The sequence below is a fragment of the Homo sapiens genome, chromosome 1 (genome assembly GCF_000001405.40).
Source record: "Homo sapiens chromosome 1, GRCh38.p14 Primary Assembly".
Taxonomy (NCBI): Eukaryota; Metazoa; Chordata; class Mammalia; order Primates; family Hominidae; genus Homo; species Homo sapiens.
Genome location: NC_000001.11, coordinates 63,358,719 through 63,381,264, shown reverse-complemented (window position 1 = coordinate 63,381,264; position 22,546 = coordinate 63,358,719). Strand labels below are relative to the sequence as shown.

At 41.4% G+C, this 22,546-nt stretch overlaps 1 protein-coding gene and 1 pseudogene across 1 annotated transcript in view, besides 3 other annotated features; one reads left to right on the top strand and one right to left on the bottom strand.

Moving 5' to 3' along the window:
* Positions 1-13,638, bottom strand: part of ALG6 (ALG6 alpha-1,3-glucosyltransferase) — a 70,927-nt gene extending 57,289 nt beyond the window's left edge. The window contains exons 1-2 of the mRNA NM_013339.4: positions 13,578-13,638; positions 10,206-10,494 (exon numbers count right to left, since the gene is read on the bottom strand). Of these exons, the coding sequence (NP_037471.2) occupies positions 10,206-10,287 (82 nt within the window). The 5' untranslated portion in view covers positions 10,288-10,494; positions 13,578-13,638. The remainder of the gene's footprint in view (positions 1-10,205; positions 10,495-13,577) is intronic.
* Positions 13,069-13,178: an enhancer, noted in NCBI's record as "active region_1125". NCBI's record gives its function as "activates an Ori minimal core promoter by ATAC-STARR-seq in GM12878 lymphoblastoid cells {active_cell/tissue: GM12878}" and the evidence as "EXISTENCE:reporter gene assay evidence [ECO:0000049][PMID:35858748]".
* Positions 13,359-13,838: a silencer, noted in NCBI's record as "silent region_950". NCBI's record gives its function as "represses an Ori minimal core promoter by ATAC-STARR-seq in GM12878 lymphoblastoid cells {active_cell/tissue: GM12878}" and the evidence as "EXISTENCE:reporter gene assay evidence [ECO:0000049][PMID:35858748]".
* Positions 14,039-14,178: an enhancer, noted in NCBI's record as "active region_1124". NCBI's record gives its function as "activates an Ori minimal core promoter by ATAC-STARR-seq in GM12878 lymphoblastoid cells {active_cell/tissue: GM12878}" and the evidence as "EXISTENCE:reporter gene assay evidence [ECO:0000049][PMID:35858748]".
* LOC441887 (DnaJ heat shock protein family (Hsp40) member C7 pseudogene) lies at positions 20,084-21,754 on the top strand (annotated as a pseudogene).

Sequence of the window (22,546 nt, the reverse complement as noted above, 5' to 3'; positions counted from 1 at the left end):
GCCAGGATGGTCTTGATCTCCTGACCTCATGATCCGCCTGCCTCGGCCTCCCAAAGTGCTGGGATTACAGGCGTGAGCCACCGCGCCTGGCCAATTTTTGTATTTTTTATAAAGACAAGGTTTCCCCGTATTGCCCAGGCTGGACTCAAACTTTTGGGCTCAAGCAATCCACCTGCCTCGGCCTCTCAAAGTGCTGGGATTACAGGTGTGAGCCACTGGGCCCAGCCACCATTTTTCTTAATGTTTAGCATATTTACTTTCCTTATCTGAAAAATGACAAAAATATATCATAGCCATCTACAAGATGCCTTCAAATAATCTACTAATGTGCAATAACAATATTTTTCTTATATAGTAACCCAAAAGGAATCTGATTCTGTTGATTTTCCTAGGGACAATTTAAGAGCAGGGTTTAAAATAAGTAGCTGGAGTCCTGTTTTCTTTTCCAGATGAGAAAAGTAATTGAGTAAATTCAGTTCATGAAAGAAATGTCAGGTTAAGTAATATATGTAAGTCACAGGAATAGAGAAGTATTGGATGAATTGTCCCCTCCTGAATTCCCATTAAGCATTTGATTATATATACCAGCAATACTGAAATAGTATCATTTAAAAATTTGTAGTATTTTATCCTATACTCTGATTTTAGTTCTTTTCAACTTCACCTTAAAATAAACGAGAAAATAATATATGTGTCACAATTAGGAGACAAAAGGAAAACTGGAAAAAAGATTGCAAACTAAATAATCACCATGAATTAGTACCAAATTCAGAAAAGGGGATGACTTTCCAATGGACCAATTATGGACTAAAAGTAATATTATAAGTTACATATTTTATGTAACAACTTCTAATTGGACCTTTCCTCAGCCCTTCTTCCCCCACTTCAGCCACCAAACTACTTCCTTTCTTCCGTTCACGAACAAACGTCCTGAAAGTTGCTATGTCCATTTGATAACTACCATTCAGTCCTCAGTTCATTACAGTCTGGCAACCAGGAGGTTCACATGGTCTCCTATAGATCCCTTGTCTATTTTAAATTTTCATCCTTTTTGACATGTCTATAGCTTGACACTGTTGGCCGGTCCTCATTTTGTAAAGTTGTCTGGTTTCTTGGCTTCTAGAAAAACAAACTCTCCAGATGCTAAGCCTACTACACAGTTTCTTCTCAGTCTCCTTTAATCATTCTCCCTTCTCTCTGGAGATGATTAGTGGTTAAATCTGTTTTCTTCTTGCACAAAAGTTGCTTTTGTTGAGGGGCAAAAGCAACTCTTAAACCTGTTGCTTTTGCCCCTCAACCCCTGGCTTCAACCATCATGTCTATTAACCCTCTGTAAACACTAGAATAACTTATGGAGCTTTTAAAAATATAGATGGCACTTCGGTTTCCAGCAATATGCCAGACAAAGGGTCCAAAAACATCTCCAGTAAAAATCCTAGTTAACATTGAATAAATAATGTATATAATATAATGTTTTATATATGTTTTATATATAATGTATGATTTATATTTGTTTTTATATAATTAATAATATAGTATTACGTATCCTACTTTTATAAATATATAATTTTAATATATGGCTGAACTAGCAGTAACATGAAAGAATTCCTTAGAGGCCCCAGAAACAACAGCAAAGTGTAGATTCAGAGAAGTAAGCATTTGCCTTGAGGGTATCCAATGATCTCTGGTGGTCAATAGCCTGGCTACCAGGAGCCCTGTGCAGTCAGTAAGGAGGCAAAGCCTGGGACCTGAACAGGTAGGAATTCAAGGTCAGAGAACCCTCTACTACAATTTAAAATACAATGCCTTTAGGGAGATAGTGAAGATAGTACTCATCTCGGCCTTGGCTCCTGGTAGTACAGGAAAAACGAAAAAGAGTCCTATGAAAACTCCTAACCATATGCCTGCATTTGCCCAGGTTGGGGCCTGAATTCACACCAAGTACATGACCCAAAGAAACTTTAAGTTGCTAATTTAGTTTGATTTTTGTTAATAGTGCCCCAGGTGCCTACCAGGAAGCAACATAAACCCTATGTGGAAAAATGCACAGGAAACTCAAGCCTCAAAGAATTCCCACAGATAAAAGTTCCAAATTACATAAACTCACTATTTTATTAAAAATCACTAAGCTCATGAAGAAACAAAATACCATGAGCAAGGGTCAGGAGAAACAAAAAACTATGAAATCAGAATGCAGATACGAGAATTTTTAGATAAGAAACATAAAATAAGCATGGTTCAACTGCTTAACAATACAAAAGAAGACCTTGAAAGTATGCTGAAGGAACAAGAGACTATCAGAAATGATCAAGATCTAAAAAGGAACCAAAGAGAACTTCTGGAAATAAAAAATATAATAACTGAAACCTTAACATTCAATGGGGAGTTAAAAAAAAAAAACAAACAAATTAAGCACAGCTAAAAACTAATGAACAGGAAACCAAATTTGATGATTATAAAGGAAGCACTGTGAAGAAACCCCGAGATGGAAAATACAAGAGATTATGAAACACAGAAGACAGAATGAAAAGACCCAACATACATCTAACAAGAGTTGTACAAGAATAAAAATGAGGAAGATACAATATTTGAAGAGATAACTGAGAACTATAAAGTCAATGAGGGGAAGAGATTATTGTCTATTTTATTCTCTGCAGCATCACCAGCCCTTGGCACATAGTGAATGGCCTATACTATCTGTGGAATTCCTAACCAAAGATCCAACATATATCTAATCAGAGTTCTAAAAGGAAGAAAAATAAGAAGACACAGTAGCTGAAAAGTTTCTAGAACAGACAGAAAATACCATTCCTTAGAGACAGAAATCACAGAAAATCCTAGGATGACAAATGTTTTAATATTCACTAAGATATATCATAGTGAAACTGCAGCAAGAAAGGAAAGGCAAATTACCTACAAAAGAATAACAGTTAAAATGACAGCTGATGTCCAAACATCAACACAAATTAAAAGACAATGGTATTTTCAAAATACTAAGAGAAAACAACCATCAAAACAATTCCATACCCAGCAAAACTTTAAGACTGAAAGCCAAATAAAGGCATTTTCAGACAAAAACTGGGTTTGCCACCAACAGACTCTCACCAAAAAAAACTCCCAAAGGTGTACTTCAGGAAGAAAAAAATGATCTCAAAGAAAGATACAATATGTAAGAAGGGTGAACAGAAAATGCTAAACACAAGGGTAAAACTAAATAAATATGCAGGGCACAGTGGCTCACAACCTGTCATCCCAGCACTTCGGGAGGCCAAGGTGGGAGGATCCCCCTTGAGCCCAGGAGTTTGAGCCCAGCTTGGGCAACACAGCAGGACCTTATGTCTACTAAAAATAAAAAAACATATATTTAGCTGGGTGTGGTGGCAAGCACCTGTAGTTCCAGCTACTGGGGAGGCTGGAGCAGGAGGATCCTCTGAGCCCAGGAAGTCAAGGCTGCAATGAACTATGGTCATGCCACTGTACTTGAGCTTGGGCAATAGAGTGAGATCCCATCTCTAAAAATAAATAAATAATAAATAATAAACCAATATTAACTGTACAAAACAAGTCATTAATGCCTAATTTATAGGATTAAAAATCATGGAAGAAACAAAATCCTAGACAGTAACATTTTAACTTGGGAAGTGAGGATCTGTAACCAGAATTAAAACATTCTAAAGTCTTTGCATTGTTCAAGAGGATATAAATATTAACTTTAGGCTTTGTTAAGTTAAATATGCAACTGAAAATTTCCAGATAAGTCCTGAAAGAAGAAAATAAAAATATAGCTTTCAAACCAATAGAGAAGGGAAACAGCAATTGCGGAAGGAAATTGCTTAGACATATCTAAACATACAGTAAAGAATAAAAGGACAGAAAAAGATATAACAAGCAAAAATCAAACTAAAGAAAACTATTATGGCTATATTAATTTTAGAGGAAACAAACTTTAACAAAAAAGCATTACTGTAAACAAACAGGGAAGCAACAGTGATATGAAATTCAGGTCACACACAAAAAAATTCTACCTGTTAATACCACCACTTTGGGAGGCCGAGGTGGTGGATCACCTGAGATCAGGAGTTCAAGACCAGCCTGGCCAACATGGTGAAACCCCGTCTCTACTAAAAATGCAAAAATTAGCTGGGTGTGGCAGCGCACGCCTGTAATCCCAGCCACTAGGGAGGCTGAGGCAGGAGAATCCCTTGAACCCGGGAGGCAGAGGTTGCAGTAAGCTGAGATTGTGCCGTCCAGCCTGGGCAACAGAGTGAGATTCCATCTCAAAAAAAAAAGAAAAACAATTCTAAATCACCTAGTAATATAGATACAAAATATATACATACAAGTTGACAAAACTACAAAGAGAAACTACAGCTCTCTTAATAACTGGTAGATCAATTGGTAAAATATCAGTAAGAATATAAAAAACGATTGTATCAAAACAATAATATTGGGTTATTGAATATATGCAGAATATTAAACTAGAGATTACACATTCTTTTCAAGCACACACAGAACATTTACAAAAGCTGATTACATACTAGGTCAAGTTTCAATGCTTTTCAAAGAATTAGTAGTACACAGAAAGATTCTCTTTCTACCATCTACTTAAATTTAAAATATCAAAAAGGTAATTTTTAAAGCCTAAATATTTAAAAAATTTTAAACATAATTCTAAATAACTCATGGGTCAAAGTAGATGTCACATTAGAAATTAGAAAATATTACTTGTGGGATGGTACTCTAAAGAAAATGTATAGCTTAAATGATAGTGTTACAGAGACTGAAACTTAAGAGCTAAAGCATCCAATTTAGTAAATTTAAAAAAGAACAACCCCAAGGATATCACTGAGAGAATGGGCAAAGCTCAGATTAGTTATTTGAAAAATACGGCTATGTACCACAATAATGACATCTCAGTCAACAACGAACTGTATAAACAATGATGGTCCCATAAGATAATCATACTGTATTTTAACTGCACCTTATCTATGTTTAGATATGTTTAAATACACAAATACTTACCATGTGCTACAACTGCCTACAGTATTCAGTACAGTAACATGTTGTATAGGTTTGTAGCCTAGGAGCAATAGGCTATAATGTACAGCCTAGGTGTAGTAGGCTGTACAATCTGAGTTGGTGTAAGTCACTCTACAATGGTTGAACAATGACTAAACTGCCAATTGACGCATTTCTCAGAATGAATCCCCATCATTAAACAATGCATGACTGTACTAATAAAATTAATAAACCCCTAATAAGACTGATTGTTTTAAAAAATGAAACACCACTAACTATATAAGAAATAAAAAAGGAACTATAATCATTGATACAGCAGAAAATGTAAAAGGTAAGAAAACATTATGAATAATTTTATGTCAATACATTTTAAAACTTAGGTGAAATGGAAACATTTCTAGAAAAATATAAATTACAAAAATAATTCGAGAAAAAAGAGAGAGCCTAAATGGTCCTATAACCAATAAACAAATTAAATCACTAAACATTTTCCTTACAAAGAAAATTCCAGGCCCAAATACCTTTACTATCAAGTTCTACCAAGTATCTAAGGAACAAACAATTCCAAGCTTACATACTATTCCAGATTTTACAAAAAGAGAGAATACTCCCTAATTCATTTTATGAGGCTAGCTTAACCTTGATATCAAACCTGACAAAGGCATTTTAAGGAAGTAAAAGAAATGGGCCAGGCGTGGTGGCTCACGCCTGTAATCCCAGCACTTTGGGAGGCCAAGGAGGGCGGATCACCTAAGGTCAGGAGTTTGAGACCAGGCTGGCAAACATGGGGAAATCCTGTCTCTACTGGAAAAAAAAAAAAAAAAAAAAAAAAAAATGCCGGGGGTGGTGGCACATGCCTGTAAATCCCAGCTACTCGGGAAGCTGAGGCAGGAGAATTGCTTGAACCCAGGAAACGGATATTGTAGTGAGCCGAGATTGCACCATTGCCCTCCAGCCTGGGCAACAGAGCAAGACTCAGTCTAGGGAGAAAAAAGAAAAAGAAAAGAAACAAAGTATTTGCCTATATCACACTACATTTTTTTTTTAATGGAGTCTCCCTCTGTCACCCAGGCTGAAGTGCAGTGGCACCATCTCTGGCTCACTGCAACCTCCGCCTCCCGGGTTCAAGCAATCCACCCACCTCAGAGGCCCGAGTAGCTAGGACTACAGGCATGTGCCATCATGCCTAATTTTTCTTTTTGTAAAGGGGGTTTCACCATGTTGGCTAGGCTGGTCTGGAACTCCTGACCTCAAGTGATCCCCCTGCCTCAGCCTCCCAAAGCGCTAGAATTACAAGCATGAGCCACTGTGCTCAGCCTACATTTTTATGTAGTATGTATTTACATGTCCACCTTATCCACTAGACTGTAAACTTCTCTAAGGAAGATACCATTTATTATTCTTGGTCACCCTAAAGACCAGGCCTAAAGACTTAATCACCAGCAAGACCTATTTTTCCTGCATAGCAGACATTTTAGGGCTAAATGATCTGATGTGAGGATCAAATGAGATGAGTTATGAACTATAAATGTGCTAGTTATAGCCCTGCACTATTAAAAAAGAAAACATAATTTATACATATTATCTCAATCCTCACAAGAATCCTTTTTTTTTTTTGGAGACAGAGTCTTGCTCTGTCACCCAGGGTGGGGTGCAGTGGCGTGATCTCGGCTCACTGCAACCTCTGCCTTCCAGGTTCAAGCAATTCTCGTGCCTCATCCTCCGGAATAGCTGGGACTACAGGCACCCGCCACCACACCCGGCTAATTTTTGTATTTTTAGTAGAGACGGGGTTTCACTGTGTTGGCCACGCTGGTCTCGAACTCCTGACCTCATGTGATCGGCCCACTTCGGCCTCCCAAAGTGCTGGGATTACAGGCGTGAGCCACGGCCCGGCCAAGAACCCTCTTAAAGTATGTATTAATACCCCACTTGATAGAAGAGGCTCAAGGAGATTAAATAAATTCCCCAAGATCAGGCAACTAACAGGTGAAAGAGCTAAGATTTGAGCCCAAGTCAACTGCTACATTTAAGTGATTTTACTTCCTCCATATTCCTCGAACTCATTCAGAAGCCACAGAGCACAGTCATAAGAGCACTGATTGTGGAATTAAATACAACTATATTTGAATCCCAGTTGTCATTTATTGGTTGTCTCATTTTCCATTTGTAAATCGAAGATATTACCTGTCTTCAGTGGTTGTGGTAAATACTAAAGAAAATACTCATACTCAAAATATAGTAGTTCTTACAAGTTCTTTCTATAAATCCTTTAAATTCATGCTGAATAAAGAGAAACTATATTAAGCCAGAGTATTTGAAAAAATTGGGCGCAGTGGCTCACACCTATAATCCCAGTACTTTGGGAGGCTGAGGCAGGAGTATTGCTCGAGCCCAGGAGTTCAAGACCAGCCTAGGCAACACAGTGAGACCTCATCTTTACTAAAAATCAAAACAATTAGCCAGACAATTAGCCACATGCCTGTGGTCCCAAGAGGTCAAGGCTGCAGTGAGCCAAGATCATGCCACTGCACTCCAGCCTGGGCAACAGGGGGAGACCCTGTCTCAAAAAAAAAAAAAAAAAAAATGTAAATTAAATTAAATTGAAAAATAAAAATAGCCCAAAAAAGTGTGTTGTTTTGTTTTTTTTTGAGGCAGAGTCTTGCTCTGTCGCCCAGGCTAAAGTGTAATGGGATGATCTTGGCTCACTGCAACCTCCATCTCCTGGGCTTAAGCAATTCTCGTGCCTCAGCCTCCCCAGCAGCTGGGATTACAGGTGTGCGCCCGGCTAATTTTTGTATTTTTAATAGAGACGGGGTTTTGCCATGTTGCTCAGGCTGGTCTTGAACTCCTGAGCTCAGGCAATCCACCCACCTTAGCCTCCCCCCAAAAAAAAATGTTTTAAGAGAAAAGAGAAACTATAGTCTGGTTAAAATATTGACTGGACATAGTGGCTCACACCTGTAATCCCAGCACTTTGGGAGGCTGGGGCAGGCAGATCACTTGAGCTCAGGAGTTCAAGACCAGCCTGGGCAACATGGTGAGACCCTGTGTCTACAAAAAATACAAAAATTAGCCAGGCGTCGTGGTGCACGCCTGTATTTCCAGCTACTTGGTAGGCTGAGGCAGCAGAATCACTGCACCAAGGAGGCGGAGGCTGCCATGAGCCAACATTGTGCCACTGCACTTTAGCCTGGACGATGAAAGTGAAACCCTGTCTCCAAAAAAAAAAGTCTTACAAAACATATATGTATGTGTGTGTGTATACATCTATATGTAAGAGCTACAGGCCAGGCACGGTGGCTCATGCCTGTAATCCCAGCACTTCAGGAGGCCGAGGCAGGCAGATCACGAGGTCAGGAGTTCAAGACCAGCCTGACCAACATGGTGAAACCTCGTCTCTACTAAAAATACAAAAATTAGCTGGGCATGATGGCATGCACCTGTAATCCCAGCTACTTAGGAGGCTGAGGCAGGAGAATAGCTTGAAACTGGGAGGCGGAGATTACAGTGAGCCAAGATTGCGCCACTGCACTCCAGCCTGGGTGACAGAGCTTTTTTTTCTCAAAAAAAAGCTACGATATACACAGACACATACACATTTATTCTCTACATACACATTTGCTATATACACACATATATACAGATATTTATATATATGTGTGTCTGTGTATATCCATATATATGTCTGTGTATATATACATTTACTATATACAGACACACACATATATAGGTATGCATAAAATACCTATATATGTGTGTGTCTGTGTATATACACATTTACTATATAGACACACATATATATAAATTTCCATATATGTATCTTCGTATATAGTAAATGTGTAAGTAGAGAGTAAATGTGTGTCTGTGTATATATATGTGTCTGTGTATATATCATAGCTCTTACAACTATTAATATTATTGTCTCATTTTTCTCTTTACCTATCTCTTTTTCCTATGACCCTTTTTCACTAACATAAGTTATTTTTCTACAACGAAATAATTTGCCCAGCTAATTGTATAACCTATTCTCTGGTCACTCTCTCCTCATCCTTTTTGTTCCTATGTTTCATGCAACTCAAATACAATACTTATAATAACCATGCTCTGTGACACCATGTCTGTTGCACAAGTTCCTGCACTCTATAATACCTTCTCCACTTCATTTGCCTAGAAAATTCTGACTCATCCTTCAAATCTTGAATGCAAACATCTTTCCTGAAGTTTTCTCTAATGCATCTTGATCATTTACCTCTCTATTAACTCTGTACCTCACACATACTCCTACATTATAATTATCACCCTCTGTTGTGACCATTTAACTATTAAAATGTGGGCCCTCTAGCTGGGTGCGGTGGCTCACGCCTGTAATCCCAGCACTTTGGGAGGCCGAGGCAAGTGGATCACGAGGTCAGGAGTTCGACACCAGCCTGGCCAGCATGGTGAAACCCCGTCTCTACTAAAAATGCAAAAATTAGCTGGGCATGGTCGCGTGCATCTGTAATCCCAGCTACTCGGAAGGTTGAGGTAGAAGAATTGCTTGAACCCGGGAGGCAGAGGTCACAGTGAGCCAAGATTGCGCCACTGAACTCCAGCCTGGGCGACACAGCGAGGCTCCGTATCAAAAAAATAAAATAAAATAAAATAAAATAAAATGTGGGCCCTCTGAGTATTGGCTATTCATCTTGTATTTTTAGAAGCTAGCACAGTGCCGGGAACATGAGACGTGCTAAATAGGTACCTGCAGAGTTACATTTAAGCCAATCCAACACACCAGGACCACACTCCATCAATTCCCCCTCTCTCATTCCCAATTTTATTCTTGTTCACTGATCGCTTCCCTTTAATCCAGTAATATGCTTCTCTACCCTAAACAGACTCCACCCCTCCCTTGAAGTGCTAGCTCATTTTCCTCTTCAATGTTTAATACAGAATCATTTCTCAATTTGTCATCTTACCTGTTAGAACACATTTTTGCTTTCTCACATCACAAAGCGCATGCTTCTATTTAGCTGTTATCCATATTCTTTCTATTAGAACTGGACATTTAAATGTATTTTCTCAACCATATCAAAAAGGCCTGAAATTCTTCTCTGTACTGGTCAGAAAATGGTAAACTTTTCCCCAAACAAACACCTATTCAAAGGAAAATTTCGTTTTTTTTTTAACCAGTAAAAATGTATTACCTGAATAAGAATTAAGAGACACTGTCCATCGTACTGTTAGTCCTATTAAAACCACTACTGTCATCAAGTACCATTTCTCCATAGTTCTTCAAATTTAGGGAGGGGAAGAAAACACAGCACCAGTGCCAGAGTACTTTTAAAACGTGGTCAATCACTTCTTTTCTTGTTCAGAGAAATGTTATCACTTCTTGAAATGTTATCGATTCTTCGCAATTAGGAGTTTGAGAGAATTTTAATGATGCTTGGTTTCCAAATAGTCAAAACTTGATTATGTCTATGTAGAAGTATCCTAAGGGGAAAAAAAAAGATATCAAGATTCAGCTGAGTACAGTACCTACAACAATGAACCCAGTAAACCAAGTAGAAGGATAGAGAATTCGAGGGGAGGGGTAGTGGGAAGGAATGTGAAGGAAACGTGGTATTTTAAGTTCCTTATTCCCTAGTCCTTTAGTTGGGAATATACATCAAAAGGTGGATCTCCCTATTAAATGGGACTCAATACATCTAAAGATATAGTAAAGATTTACTCTCACAAGGGAATATTTCTGAGAAAAGAAAAACAACACATATGTAGATAATGACACAGTCAATTCTATTTAGAACACATTCACCTACAGGTAAATATAAAACCACAACCGTAGACAAAGGCATGATTTATCTTTGGTACAGCGAGAAAGAGGAATCTTGTCTTTGTATTTAGTTTGGGAAAGTCTTCCAATAAACAATTTATCTAGTTTGGTTTTTACTTTTCTTCCAAAATATACTTGCATTAACCACACCAACTTTCCATCTTAGAGAAATGAGCCTTTTTAAGAATCATTAAGAATAATCCCAAATCGTGAGAAAAAAATACAAAAGCAGTAAAACTCAATTAACCACTTACTTTTTTTTTTTTTTTACAGTTTTCCTTAGGTTGGGGTTTTAAAGTAAGAAGCAAATTGATGCCGGTTGCGGTGGCTCACGCCTGTAATCCCAGCACTTTGGGAAGCCGAGGTGGGCAGATCACCTGAGGTCAGGAGTTCAAGACCAGCCTGACCAACATGGTGAAACCCCATCTCTACTAAAAATACAAAATTAGCCAGGTATGGTGGCGCTCGCCTGTGATCCCAGCTATTTGGAAGGCTGAGGCAGGAGAATCGCTTCAACCCAGGAGGTGAAGGTTGCAGTGAGCCGAGATCGCACCATTGCACTCCAGCCTGGGCAACAAGAGCGAAACTCCATCTCAAACAAAAAAAAATAAAAAGCAAATCGACAAAATTGACATTTTCCTCTTCTCTTTGAAAAATGTTGGACCATTTTAACCACAGGATACACTTTAAATATATTCAGAAAATATAATAAATCAACTAAAAAATTTAGGGCAAAATTGGTACATTCCACCTAATGATCTAAAATTATTTTATTTTATTTGTTTTTTTTTCTTTTTTTTTGAGATGGAGCTTTGCTCTTGTTGCCCAGGCTGGAGTACAATGGCACAATATCGGCTCACCGCAACCTCTGCCTCCTGGGTTCAAGCGATTGTCTTCCCTCAGCCTCCCAGGTAGTTGGGATTACAGGCACCCACCACCACGCCTGGCTAATTTTTGTATTGTTAGTAGAGACGGGGTTTCACCAGATTGGCCAGGCTGATCTTGAACTCCTGACCTCAGGTGATCCACCCTCCTTGGTCTCCCAAAGTGCTGGGATTACAGGCGTGAGCCACTGCACCCGGCCCTAATTATTTTCTTATTTAAAATAAAAACATCACGGGATAACTCCAGAACTGATTGGAATGGCTAATCTTTTGTCATTGATGCCAAATCTCAAATCATCCCCTCAGAAAGATCATCCCTGACTATCCTACTAAAGCTTCCTCCCCTTACTGTTTGTATCATTACCTTCAATTTGCTTCCTAATTCTTTTCACTAACAGGATTTGTATTTTCACATGACATGGTGCAATCTCACACACATAATTTTCAGTATAAATGCTGGACACCAAAGAATACATATCATATGGTTCCATGAAAGGTTCATAAATAGGCAAAACTAATCTATGGTGTTAAAAATCAGGAAAGAGGTTACCTTTGGGGAGGAAAGAAGGGATGGTGGTTGGGAGGGGTGCCCAGAGAGGTGTTCTGAAATGCTGTGAATCTTCCTTCTTGATTTGAGTAGTGGTTAGGAAATGTGTTGACTTTAGGATAAATTAACAAGTTACAACTTATAATTTGCGTACAGTATTTTTCTATATGGTATATTCCAATTTAAAAAGCATAAAAGGGGCTGGGCGCAGTGGTTCACCCCTGTAATCCCAGCACTTTGGGAGGCCGAGGCAGGTGGATCACCTGAGGTCAGGAGTTCGAGACCAGCCTGGTCAACATGGTGAAACCCCATCTCTACTAAAAATACAAAAATTAGCTGGGCGTGGTGGTGCGTTCCTGTAATCCCAGCTACTCGTGAGGCTGAGGCAGGAAAATCGCTCGAACCCGGGAGGCAGAGGTTGCAGTGAGCCAAGATCGTGCCACTGCACTCCAGCCTGGGCGACAGAGCAAGACTCTGTCTCAATTAAAAAAAAAAAAAGTGTAAAAGGAAATTACTTGGATGTGTTGACTAAAGGCTCCCTGTGAGCAGGGATCCTCCTGTCTTAGTCGTTGCTCTCTGTTCCCCACTTGTAGAACAGTGTTAGCAGAAGGCAGGTACCCAAGAAGTATTTGCTGAATGGAGCTGTGTGCGTCTGTGTGTACGAAGCGGGGAGGTACCCTAATTTTACTGAGCCCTGTGTGGTTAAAGATATTATGCGAGGCTTTTAACGACTCTCTTCTGCTTAAACCAGAAAAAGGGTTATTTGCGACTTTTTCCACCTGTAAATCAGAAAACAGTAATTTTCTAACCCATCCACTGGCCACGAAGTTGCTAGGCAGGCAGTAGATGCGCTTTTCGTCCTCCTTTGCCCTGACGGTGCATCTCGACAAATGCCAAGCCCGCCGTCCCCATCCCAGAACCGACTTTGCTCCTTTTAGTCTGAAAGGTCCTTCCACCGCAGTGGACACAACACCGGGGAGTGCAGCTATCCCGGGCGTGTATATGGGGCGAAAGGGATCCCTTCTCGCGTTTCTCCGCCCCTCCTCTTGAGGGCCAGGCCCTCAGAACCGCAAGGACAAGGGTGCCAGGACCGCCCCAGCCTGCAAGTGCCACCACTATCACCGCGTCCCCTCACCCGACCCACAAGCGACCCTGCAGGAAGGGCTGGGGAGGCCTCGCGTCGCGTCCCTGGGAGTGGAGCGGAGCTGGGAGACGGGTCGCCAGCTCTGCGCCGGCTCGTGGCGCGTCCGAGCCCCCGGCACCTCCCCACACTGGCCTGGGGTCCGGAACCTCCGGGATCCCATGCTCTTACCCCGCCGCCCGCCGGCCGCTGGGATTCGCGCCTGCCGTGGGTCCCAGGAAGGCGCATGCGCGCTCGCCCCCGCGGCGGACTGCCCCTCCGGCCTTCCGCCTCCGTGTGCCCGCGCACCACCCGCGCGCCCGGTGCGGGAGCGAGCCCGTCGAGCGTGAGGGGAGGGGCGGGCAACCTGGCCTGGACAGGAGGCGGCCGGCTTAGGAGGCGGGGCAAGAGCCGATGGAACCCGAGAGGTCCCCAGCCCCGGGTTAGGCTAGGGGCAGGTGGAAAGCCCCTTGCTCTTCTTTCCTGGGATCGTGGCCAAGGCCGGAGCGGCTGCTTAGCCAACGGATTCCTGTCAGGGGCGGGCCCTGGCTTGCTGCACTGAGCAGAGAGCCTTGGCCGGTCCTCACCACCTCTGGGCCTGTGCCCTCGAGGAGCCAGAAAGCCAACCTGCTTCACTTTCTTCTAGCCACATGCCTGCGAAGAAGAAGACTGGGCAGCCCCCTAAAGTAAGAAACATTGAACATCCAACCATTTGCGAGAGCCTGTGCGTTGTGCAAAAGGACAGCCCTGCCCTCGAGTAGCCACTACACGTGCCCCAGCGGGCAGCTTGAATCACCTGGTCCCAAACTTGCCAAAAATACCTATCTAGTAAGTTAGTAAGACCTGCACACTTTTCCTTTTGCATTGATCCCTTCCTTTCCAGTTCCACTATTTCCATCTCAGTCTAGGCTTCTGTCCAATCACGCATGGACGGCTGTGATGATTTTTACTTGCCTTCCTTTGTTCAGAGAGTGCCCTCATTCCCCACTTCTGAATCTTGCCATTCTACGTAAGCCAACCCCTATAATTTGTAAGTGTTAGCAAATATTTGGCTAGGACTATGGCTTTCTACTGAGTCTGAATAACTTCTCTCTGGGCCTCAGTTTCTTCAACTGTGAAAGAAATCAGTAGGGCTAGGTGAACTTCCAGGTCTAAAATATGATTATATCTAAAAGACCATCAGCACTGGGAATATGGAGAAATATGGCAGGTCCCTGCCCTCAAGGCATTTAATTCTCATTGGAAAGACATTTTTATGCATAAAAGGATAAAAAGCTATAGAAGGAAACACATACTAAATGTTACATTACTTACATATGCACTAAGCACTGTAGGAGTTAGGAGAAGAGGGTTCACTGTAAACTGCAAACCATCAGGAAATGCTTTTCCTGGAGGAGTCAGCTGAGCTTTGAAGGAAAGCCTGGCTGGATAAGCCCAGAGAATGAGAGTAAGAATCTAGACAAAGGAAATGGTTCAAGCCAAATATTGTGGCAGCTGAAAAGTGTAGAACATTTCCTCTAGTTTAGGTGGTGGGTGATGAAGCTGGAAAGGACTGGTAATTGTAGAGAGCCTTGAATACCAGGCTATGGTGTCTGGAATGTATCCAGTGATCAGTAAGGGGCTATTAAATGACTTTTAGCAGGGAGTCAAGTATACAGTACAGTTACAGTGTTAGAGAAAACTTAAAGTGGTGAAAATGGATCAGATGAATCAGAGGGAGACTATAGCAGTCCACGCATGATTAGACAAGGGCTTGGACTGAGATGGCAATAGTGGAACTGCAAAGGGAGAGATCAATGCAAGAAGAAACATGTACAGGTCTTTTTTTTTTTTTTCTGAGACGCAGTTTCGCTCTTGTTCTCTTGTTGCCCAGGCTGGGGAGCAATGGCACGATCTCGGCTCACCACAACCTCCACCTCCCGGGTTCAAGCAATTCTCCTGCCTCAGCCTCCCGAGTAGCTGGGATTACAGGCATGCACCACCACACCTGGCTAATTTTGTATGTTTAGTAGACATAGGGTTTCTCTGTGTTGGTCAGGCTAGTCTCGAACTCCTGACCTCAGGTGATCTGCCTGCCTCGGCCTCCCAAAGTGCTGGGATTACAGGCGTGAGCTGCTGCACCTGGCCTCGTGTACAGGTCTTAATAGCATACTAGATATGTACAAGTGAAACAAAGGAGAGGGAAGAATCAAGGATGGCTCCCAAGGTTTCAAGTGTGCATTACAGTTCCCAAGAACTGATAGATCTTGGGAAGCCTGGAGAATAATCTGGCTTGGAGGGAAAGATGGTTCATTGTATTGAGTTCACGGTAACATAAAGACAAGAAAGTTGTAATACTCAGGTGTCAGTTATGAATCAGAGCCCAGGAAAGAAATTGGGGTGAAGATAGAGAGATGAAAGTGTTTCATTTGCTGAATAATGATGGAGACAGTATAGAGAGAAAATAAACAACCATACTTGAATAAATGCATTATCTCAGGCCAAAAGGAGAAAGGCACATTGGTGAAGGATGTTACATGGTTACAAATGTAGGGAGAAATCCATTACATTGCAGGATCATAAATATTAAGCATCTGGTGAACAAGAACCATGTTTGGCAGACCAAAAATCATACTTTATTGAATCTAAAGTTCCACCACTTGTAAAAAGCACCATTATTTTATGTACCACTGAGGAAGAAAACAATGCTACCATTTAAGCTAGTAATTACTGTAAAACATATAATTTCAGAAATATTAATATGTAAAAAGTATACATCTTAAAGTGATGGAAGTTGGTATCAATCTCTCCTTCCTGTTTCTCAACCCAACAGCTTCTGACCCAGTATTTAACAAAAAGTTAATGCTCAAAATGTTCATGAATAAATAGCGGAAGAGACATCACAGTCACTAACTCATAGCTGAATTGTCTCACCACTGCCATCTATATACCTTCTCCTGCTCTTTACCTTCAATAGGTATCATCTTTCACATGTGAATATCCAGTGCCTTTACATAACAGATGTTCAGAAAATGCATTTTGAATGATAGCATTTACTATAAGCAAAAAGGATAAGCCATAGCAAAATTGTAAAGCAGATCAAGTTTAGAGGCAGTGTAGAAAGGTGATTAAGAACTAGTCTCTGACTCTGAAAACAAACAGGTTTGGATTTAAATCTTAGTTCTTCTACTTTCTAGCTGTGTGAACTTGGTAAAGTCTCCTAATGTCTCTGGCATAATTACTTCACCTACAAAAAAAAAAGAATTAATAATAATGTCATCTTCTTTGAATTTTAATGAGAGTAAAATGAAATCATGCATATAAAACTTGAATATACTGCCTGGCATATAGTATGCAATCAATAAATAATAGCTATTATCATTTGTCTTTAACATGTGCTCACTTTTTCATAGCCTTTCTTTGAAGTGTCTTCTTCCTCCTACCATATAGCAGCCCATACATATATATATTTGCATCCCCACCAGAAGCCTACTGTTCTTATCTGAAAATTTTCTCTGAAACCACGACCAGACACAGTATCTCACAGCTGTAATCCCAGCACTTTGGGAGGCTGAGGCAGGCAGATCCTTTGAGCCCAGGAGTTGAAGACCAGACTGAGCAACATGGCGAAACCCTGTCTCTACAAAAAGTATATAAAAATTAGCCAGGTGTGGTGGTGTGCTTATGTAGTCCCAGCTACTCAGGAGGTTGAGATGGGAGGATCACTTGAGCCCAGGGAGGTTGAGGCTGCAGTGAACCATGATTGCACCAATGCACTCTAGCCTGAGTGACAGAGCACAACCCTGTCTCAAAAAAATAAAAAAAAATTATCTGAAATCAAATTACACTAATGTATAATCCATCTTAAAAGTTGTTGGCTGGGCGCAATGGCTCACGTCTGTAATCCCAGCACTTTGGGAGGCCAAGGCGGGTGGATCACGAGGTCAGGAGATCGAGACCATCCCGGTTAACACAGTGAAACCCCGTCTGTACTAAAAATACAAAAAAAAAATTAGCCGGGCATGGTGGTGGGCGCCTGTAGTCCCAACTACTCGGGAGGCTGAGGCAGGAGAATGGCGTGAACCCGGGAGGAGGAGCTTGCAGTGAACCGAGATCGCGCCACTGCACTCCAGCCTGGGCAACACAGCAAGACTCCGTCTCAAAAAAAAAAAAAAAAGTTGTTGTTGCCCAGGCCCGCTGGCTCACGGCTGCAATCCCAGCACTTTGGGAGGCCGAGGCAGGCACATCACAAGGTCAGGAGATACGGTGAAACCCCATCGCTTCTAAAAATACAAAAAAAATTAGCCGGGCGTGGTGGTGGGTGCCTGTAGTCTCAGCTACTCGAGAGGCTGAGGCAGGAGAATGGTGTGAACCCGGGAGGCGGAGCTTGCAGTGAGCCGAGATCGCACCACTGCACTCCAGCCTGGGCGACAGAGCGAGACTCCATTGGGAAAAAAAAAGAAAAAAAAAGTTGGTGCATTTTAAAGGCAGATGGGAAAGAATATGAAATGAATACTATTAATCTCTAAAGTCAGTTTGACTAATAGGTGATGGCTTCAATTATCTACTGCTGTGTAACAAATTACTCCAAAATTTAGCGGCTTATATAGCAATGATTTTATTTGCTCATGTTTCTATGGATCAAGAATCTAGGCAGGGTTCAGGTAGGTGGTTCATCTGTTCCACTGGGATTGTCTGAGGTCACTCATGAGGCTGCATTCAGCTGGGAGATCAGCTCAGGCTGAAACATCCGTGAACAGCTTCAGCCCTCTCTCCACAGGGCTTCTCTCTTCAGAAAGTTTCGCAAACTTTTTACACGGCAGCTCACTTCCCAGAGAGAGCATTCCAAGCGGCAAAGGCAAAAGTTGCAGATCTCTTACACCCCAGCCTTACAAGTCACACAGCAACCTAGCCATGATACAAGGAGAGTGGAAATAGATTCTGCCTCTCAGTGGGAAGGTAGGAAAGAATTTCCGGCCATCTGTAATCCACTACAGAAAAGTTGGGATGAAACTAGAAATGGGCAAGAGCCCAACTAACAATTTTATTTCTCACCAGCCAAAAAATCAGAGTTCAAATCCCCTTACTTACTTGTCTTTCTGCCATGTCTTTTGCAAAAGGAGCAACCTCTGGTGGCCATTTCATGTATGTAGAGTAAAGATAATCTCATGGTACAAATTGCATATAACTTGTTTTGGCCTGAATTGTAGCCCTCAAAATTCATATGTTGAAGTCCTAATCCCCAGTGCCTTAGAATGTGACTATATTTGGAAATAGGGATTTTAAAGAGGTAATTAATATTAAGTGAGGACATTAGGATGGGCCCTAGCCCAACATGCCTGGATCCTTGCAAGAATGGAAATTTGAACACAGATATGCATGCGCACAGAAGAAAGACCATGTGAAGACAGGAGAATAGGGCCATCTGCAAGACAAGGAGAGAGGCTTCAAAAGAAATCAACCCTGCAGACACTTTGATCTCTGACTTCAAGCCTCCAGAACTCTGAGAAAATAAATTTCTGTTGTTTAAGCCACGCAGCCTGTGCTATTTTGTTACAGCAACCTTAACAAACTATTATATACTTTATTGAAGGTACTGTCAATATTTAATCAGCTAGGCAAACTTCCTCACACAAATCATACTTTTATAATAGTTTCTAGTCCCTTTCCTAGATCACTTCCACTCAGTAAGAAAACAAGCCCTTTTCTATATAAGTTTCAGATCTTCTCTGATTTTAACTGAAAGCCATTCACCTGATCATAACTATTCTTTTAAATAGAATCTATTTTCTTATCAGTACCTGTTCCTTAATTGACCCTTTTATGGGTCAAAATGACTCATTTTCCATTATTCTGTAACCTCTAAGTCTCATTATACTCTTGCCCCATGTAGGGCATAAGTTCACCTGAGTAGCAGAATGTTAGAGTTAAACTTACATTGTCATGTTTCAGTATAGGCATTAGCCAAAGTCTTTCATATCCAGCTCACTTGATCTTCACAGTAACTCTGAGACAATGGTAGAACAGGTGTTATTATCCCCTTCTGACATATAAGAAAACTTGAGAGTGACATTTCCCCAAAGCATGTTCTACAGAACTCTCATTCAGTGAGATAATAACTATTGTCACACACAAAAAACAGGAAGGTTCTAGGCTCCCTAGTTGCAGACTGCTGTTCTGGTGTCTCTGATGCCCAAATGTTCTCTCTCTCTTTCTTTTTTTTTTTTTTTTTTTGAGACAGAATCTCATTCTGTTGCCTAGGCTGGAGCGCAGGGGCACGATCTCGACTTACTGCAACCTCCATCTCCCATGTTCAAGCAATTCTCCTGCCTCAGCCTCCCGAGTAGCTGGGATTACAGTCATGTGCCACCACACTTGGCTAATTTTTGTCTTTTTAGTAGAGATGGGGTTTCACCATGTTGGCCAGGTTGGTCTCAAACTCCTGACCTCAGGTGATCTGCCCACCTCAGCCTCCCAAAGTGCTAGGATTATAGGCATGAGCTATCACGCCAGGCCAACAAAATCTCTCTCTAAAGGCTACCATAGTAAGTAACACTTCCTTTACTCAATATCATTTATTCGTCAAATGTTTTCTGAGCATCTGCTCTGTCTATGCCAGATGCAGAGCCATGTGCTAATAGAAACCAGACAAGTTAGACTTGGTGGCTGCCCATCAGAACTTCACTTCTAGGGAAGCTAGAAGTCTAACTGTACACCATGGGAAGGAGAGTCTTTCAAGGAACAAGGAAATGTATATTATGCCAAGAAATACTACAATGAAGCTTATAATTATTATACAAAAGCCATAGGCATATGTCCTAAAAATGCTAGCTACTACAGTAATCAAGCAGCCACATCGATTATGCTTGGAAGGTTCCAGGAAGCTCTTGGAGATGCACACCAGTCATTGAGATTGGATGACAGTTTTGTTCAGGGACATCTAGGAGGGGGCAAGTGCCCCCTCTCTCTAGAGAATGCCATGGCCACATGTTAGTTTCCAGAGAGCCCTAGAACTGGATCATAAAAATGCTCAGGAATAACAGGAGTTCAAGAATGCCAATTCAATAATGGAATATGAGAAGTTAGCAAAAACAGATTTTGAGAAGCATGATATTAGGAAGGTTGTTCTCTGCATGGACTGTGCCCGAGCACTTGCCCCTGCCTGCCATTGCTTCAAAATCCTCAAAGCAGAATATTTAGTAATGCTGGGTCATTATCCAGAAGCACAATCTGTGGCCAGTGACATTTTACAAATGGAGTCCACCAATGCAGATCCTCTGTATGTATAAGGTCTTTGCCTTTATTATGAAGATTGTATTGACAAGTCATTTCAGTTTTTGTATAGGCTCTTAGGATGGCTCCATGAGAGGGCCTGCGTTGCTTGCAGAAATCCCAAAGCACTCAAAGCAAAGAAAGAAGACAGAAATAAAGCATTTAAGGAAGGAAATTACAAGCTAGCATACGAACTGTACACATGACCCCTGGGGATAAACCCCAACAATATAAAAACTAAGCTAAACTCTACTATAATTGGGTTATGGTTAATTCTAAGCTTAGGAAACTAGATAATGCAATACAAGACTGCACAAATACAGTGAAGCTCAATGACACCTATTTAAAAGCCTGCTTGAGAAGAGCTCAGTGTTACATGAACACCAAACAGTATGAAGAAGCAGTGCACAATTATGAAAAAGTGTATCAGACAGAGAAAACAAAAGAACACAAACAGCTCCTAAAAAATGCACAGCTGAAACTGAAGAAGAGTAAGAAGAAAGATTACTACAAGATTCTGGGAGTGGACAATAATGCCTCTGAGGACGAGACCAAGAAAGCTTATCACAAATGGGCCTTGATGCACCATCCAGATTGGCACAGTGGAGGCAGTGCTGAGGTTCAGAAGGAGGAGGGGAAGTTCAAGGAAATTGGAGAGGCCTTTACCATCTTCTCTGATCCCAAGAAAAAGACTCGCTAGGACAGTGGACAGGACCTGGACAAGGAGGGCATGAATATGGGTGATTTTGATGCAAATAGTATCTTCAAGGCATTCTTCAGTGGTCTTGGGGCTTCAGCTTTGAAGCGTCTGGTCCAGGGAATTTTTTTCTATTTGCCTAATGAAGGGCAACCACCTAGAACCCAGAAAATGCAGAGTCACTCAGTTTAATCTTGAATGTGGATGCAATTCACATCATGTCTCCGTGTACTTACTGCAGTTCTGTTTTCTCAGTTGGACATCCAGTGTCTGTGTGAATGGGGTGACGGATAACGAACCAGTGTCAAAGACTGCAATTAGGGGATGGAGGTAGGCAGATGGACAAGGAAGCAGCTTGTGAATTTTTATTTTACTCTTTAACTTTATTAAAACAGAAAAAAAAAAGAAGAGAAAAAAAGGTGTGAGGACAGTCTCTTCATACAGACAAATAAATTTTATTTATTTATTTTTTGAGACAGAGTTTCACTCTATCATCCAGGCTGCAGTGTAGTGGCGCAATCTCAGCTTACTGCAACCTCCGCCTCCTGGGTTCAAGCAATACTCTTGCCTTAGCCTCCTCAGTAGCTGGGATTACAGGCGCCCACCACCATACCTAGCTAATTTTTCTATTTTTAGTAGAGATGAGGTTTCACCATGTTGGCCAGGCTGGTCTCGAACTCCTGACCTCAGGTGATCCGCTTGCCTTGGCCTCCCAAAGTGCTGGGATTACAGGCGTGAGCCATCACACCCGGCCCAGACAAATAAATTTTAAAACACTAGGTTACACAAATCTAAGGAAGAAAGCTTCCTTACTTCAGATCTTCTTGGTGCCTGTTTTTTAAGGCAGGGTCTCACTATGTTGCCAGGCTACCCTCAAAATCCTGGCTTAAGGTAATCCTCCTGCCTCAGCCTCCCAAGAAGCTAGGAGTATAAGCACATGCCACTGCACCTGGCTTTCAAAGCCTTTTATATGTTATGTACATCATGATTCTCCAAGAGAATATAGGATTTTTAGACTCATGTGACTATAGACTCCTATCTTCACACCCACCCCACCTCCCACTTCTCGCCCTGAAGAATGGTCCATGAAACACACTTTTGGAAATGCTGGTGTGAGACACTGCACAATTTCCCTAAGAGATACAGCAGATAAGTATCTGAACATAGATCTTAGCTAACTTTTATTCATTTTTAGGGCTATTTAAAGGAAGTC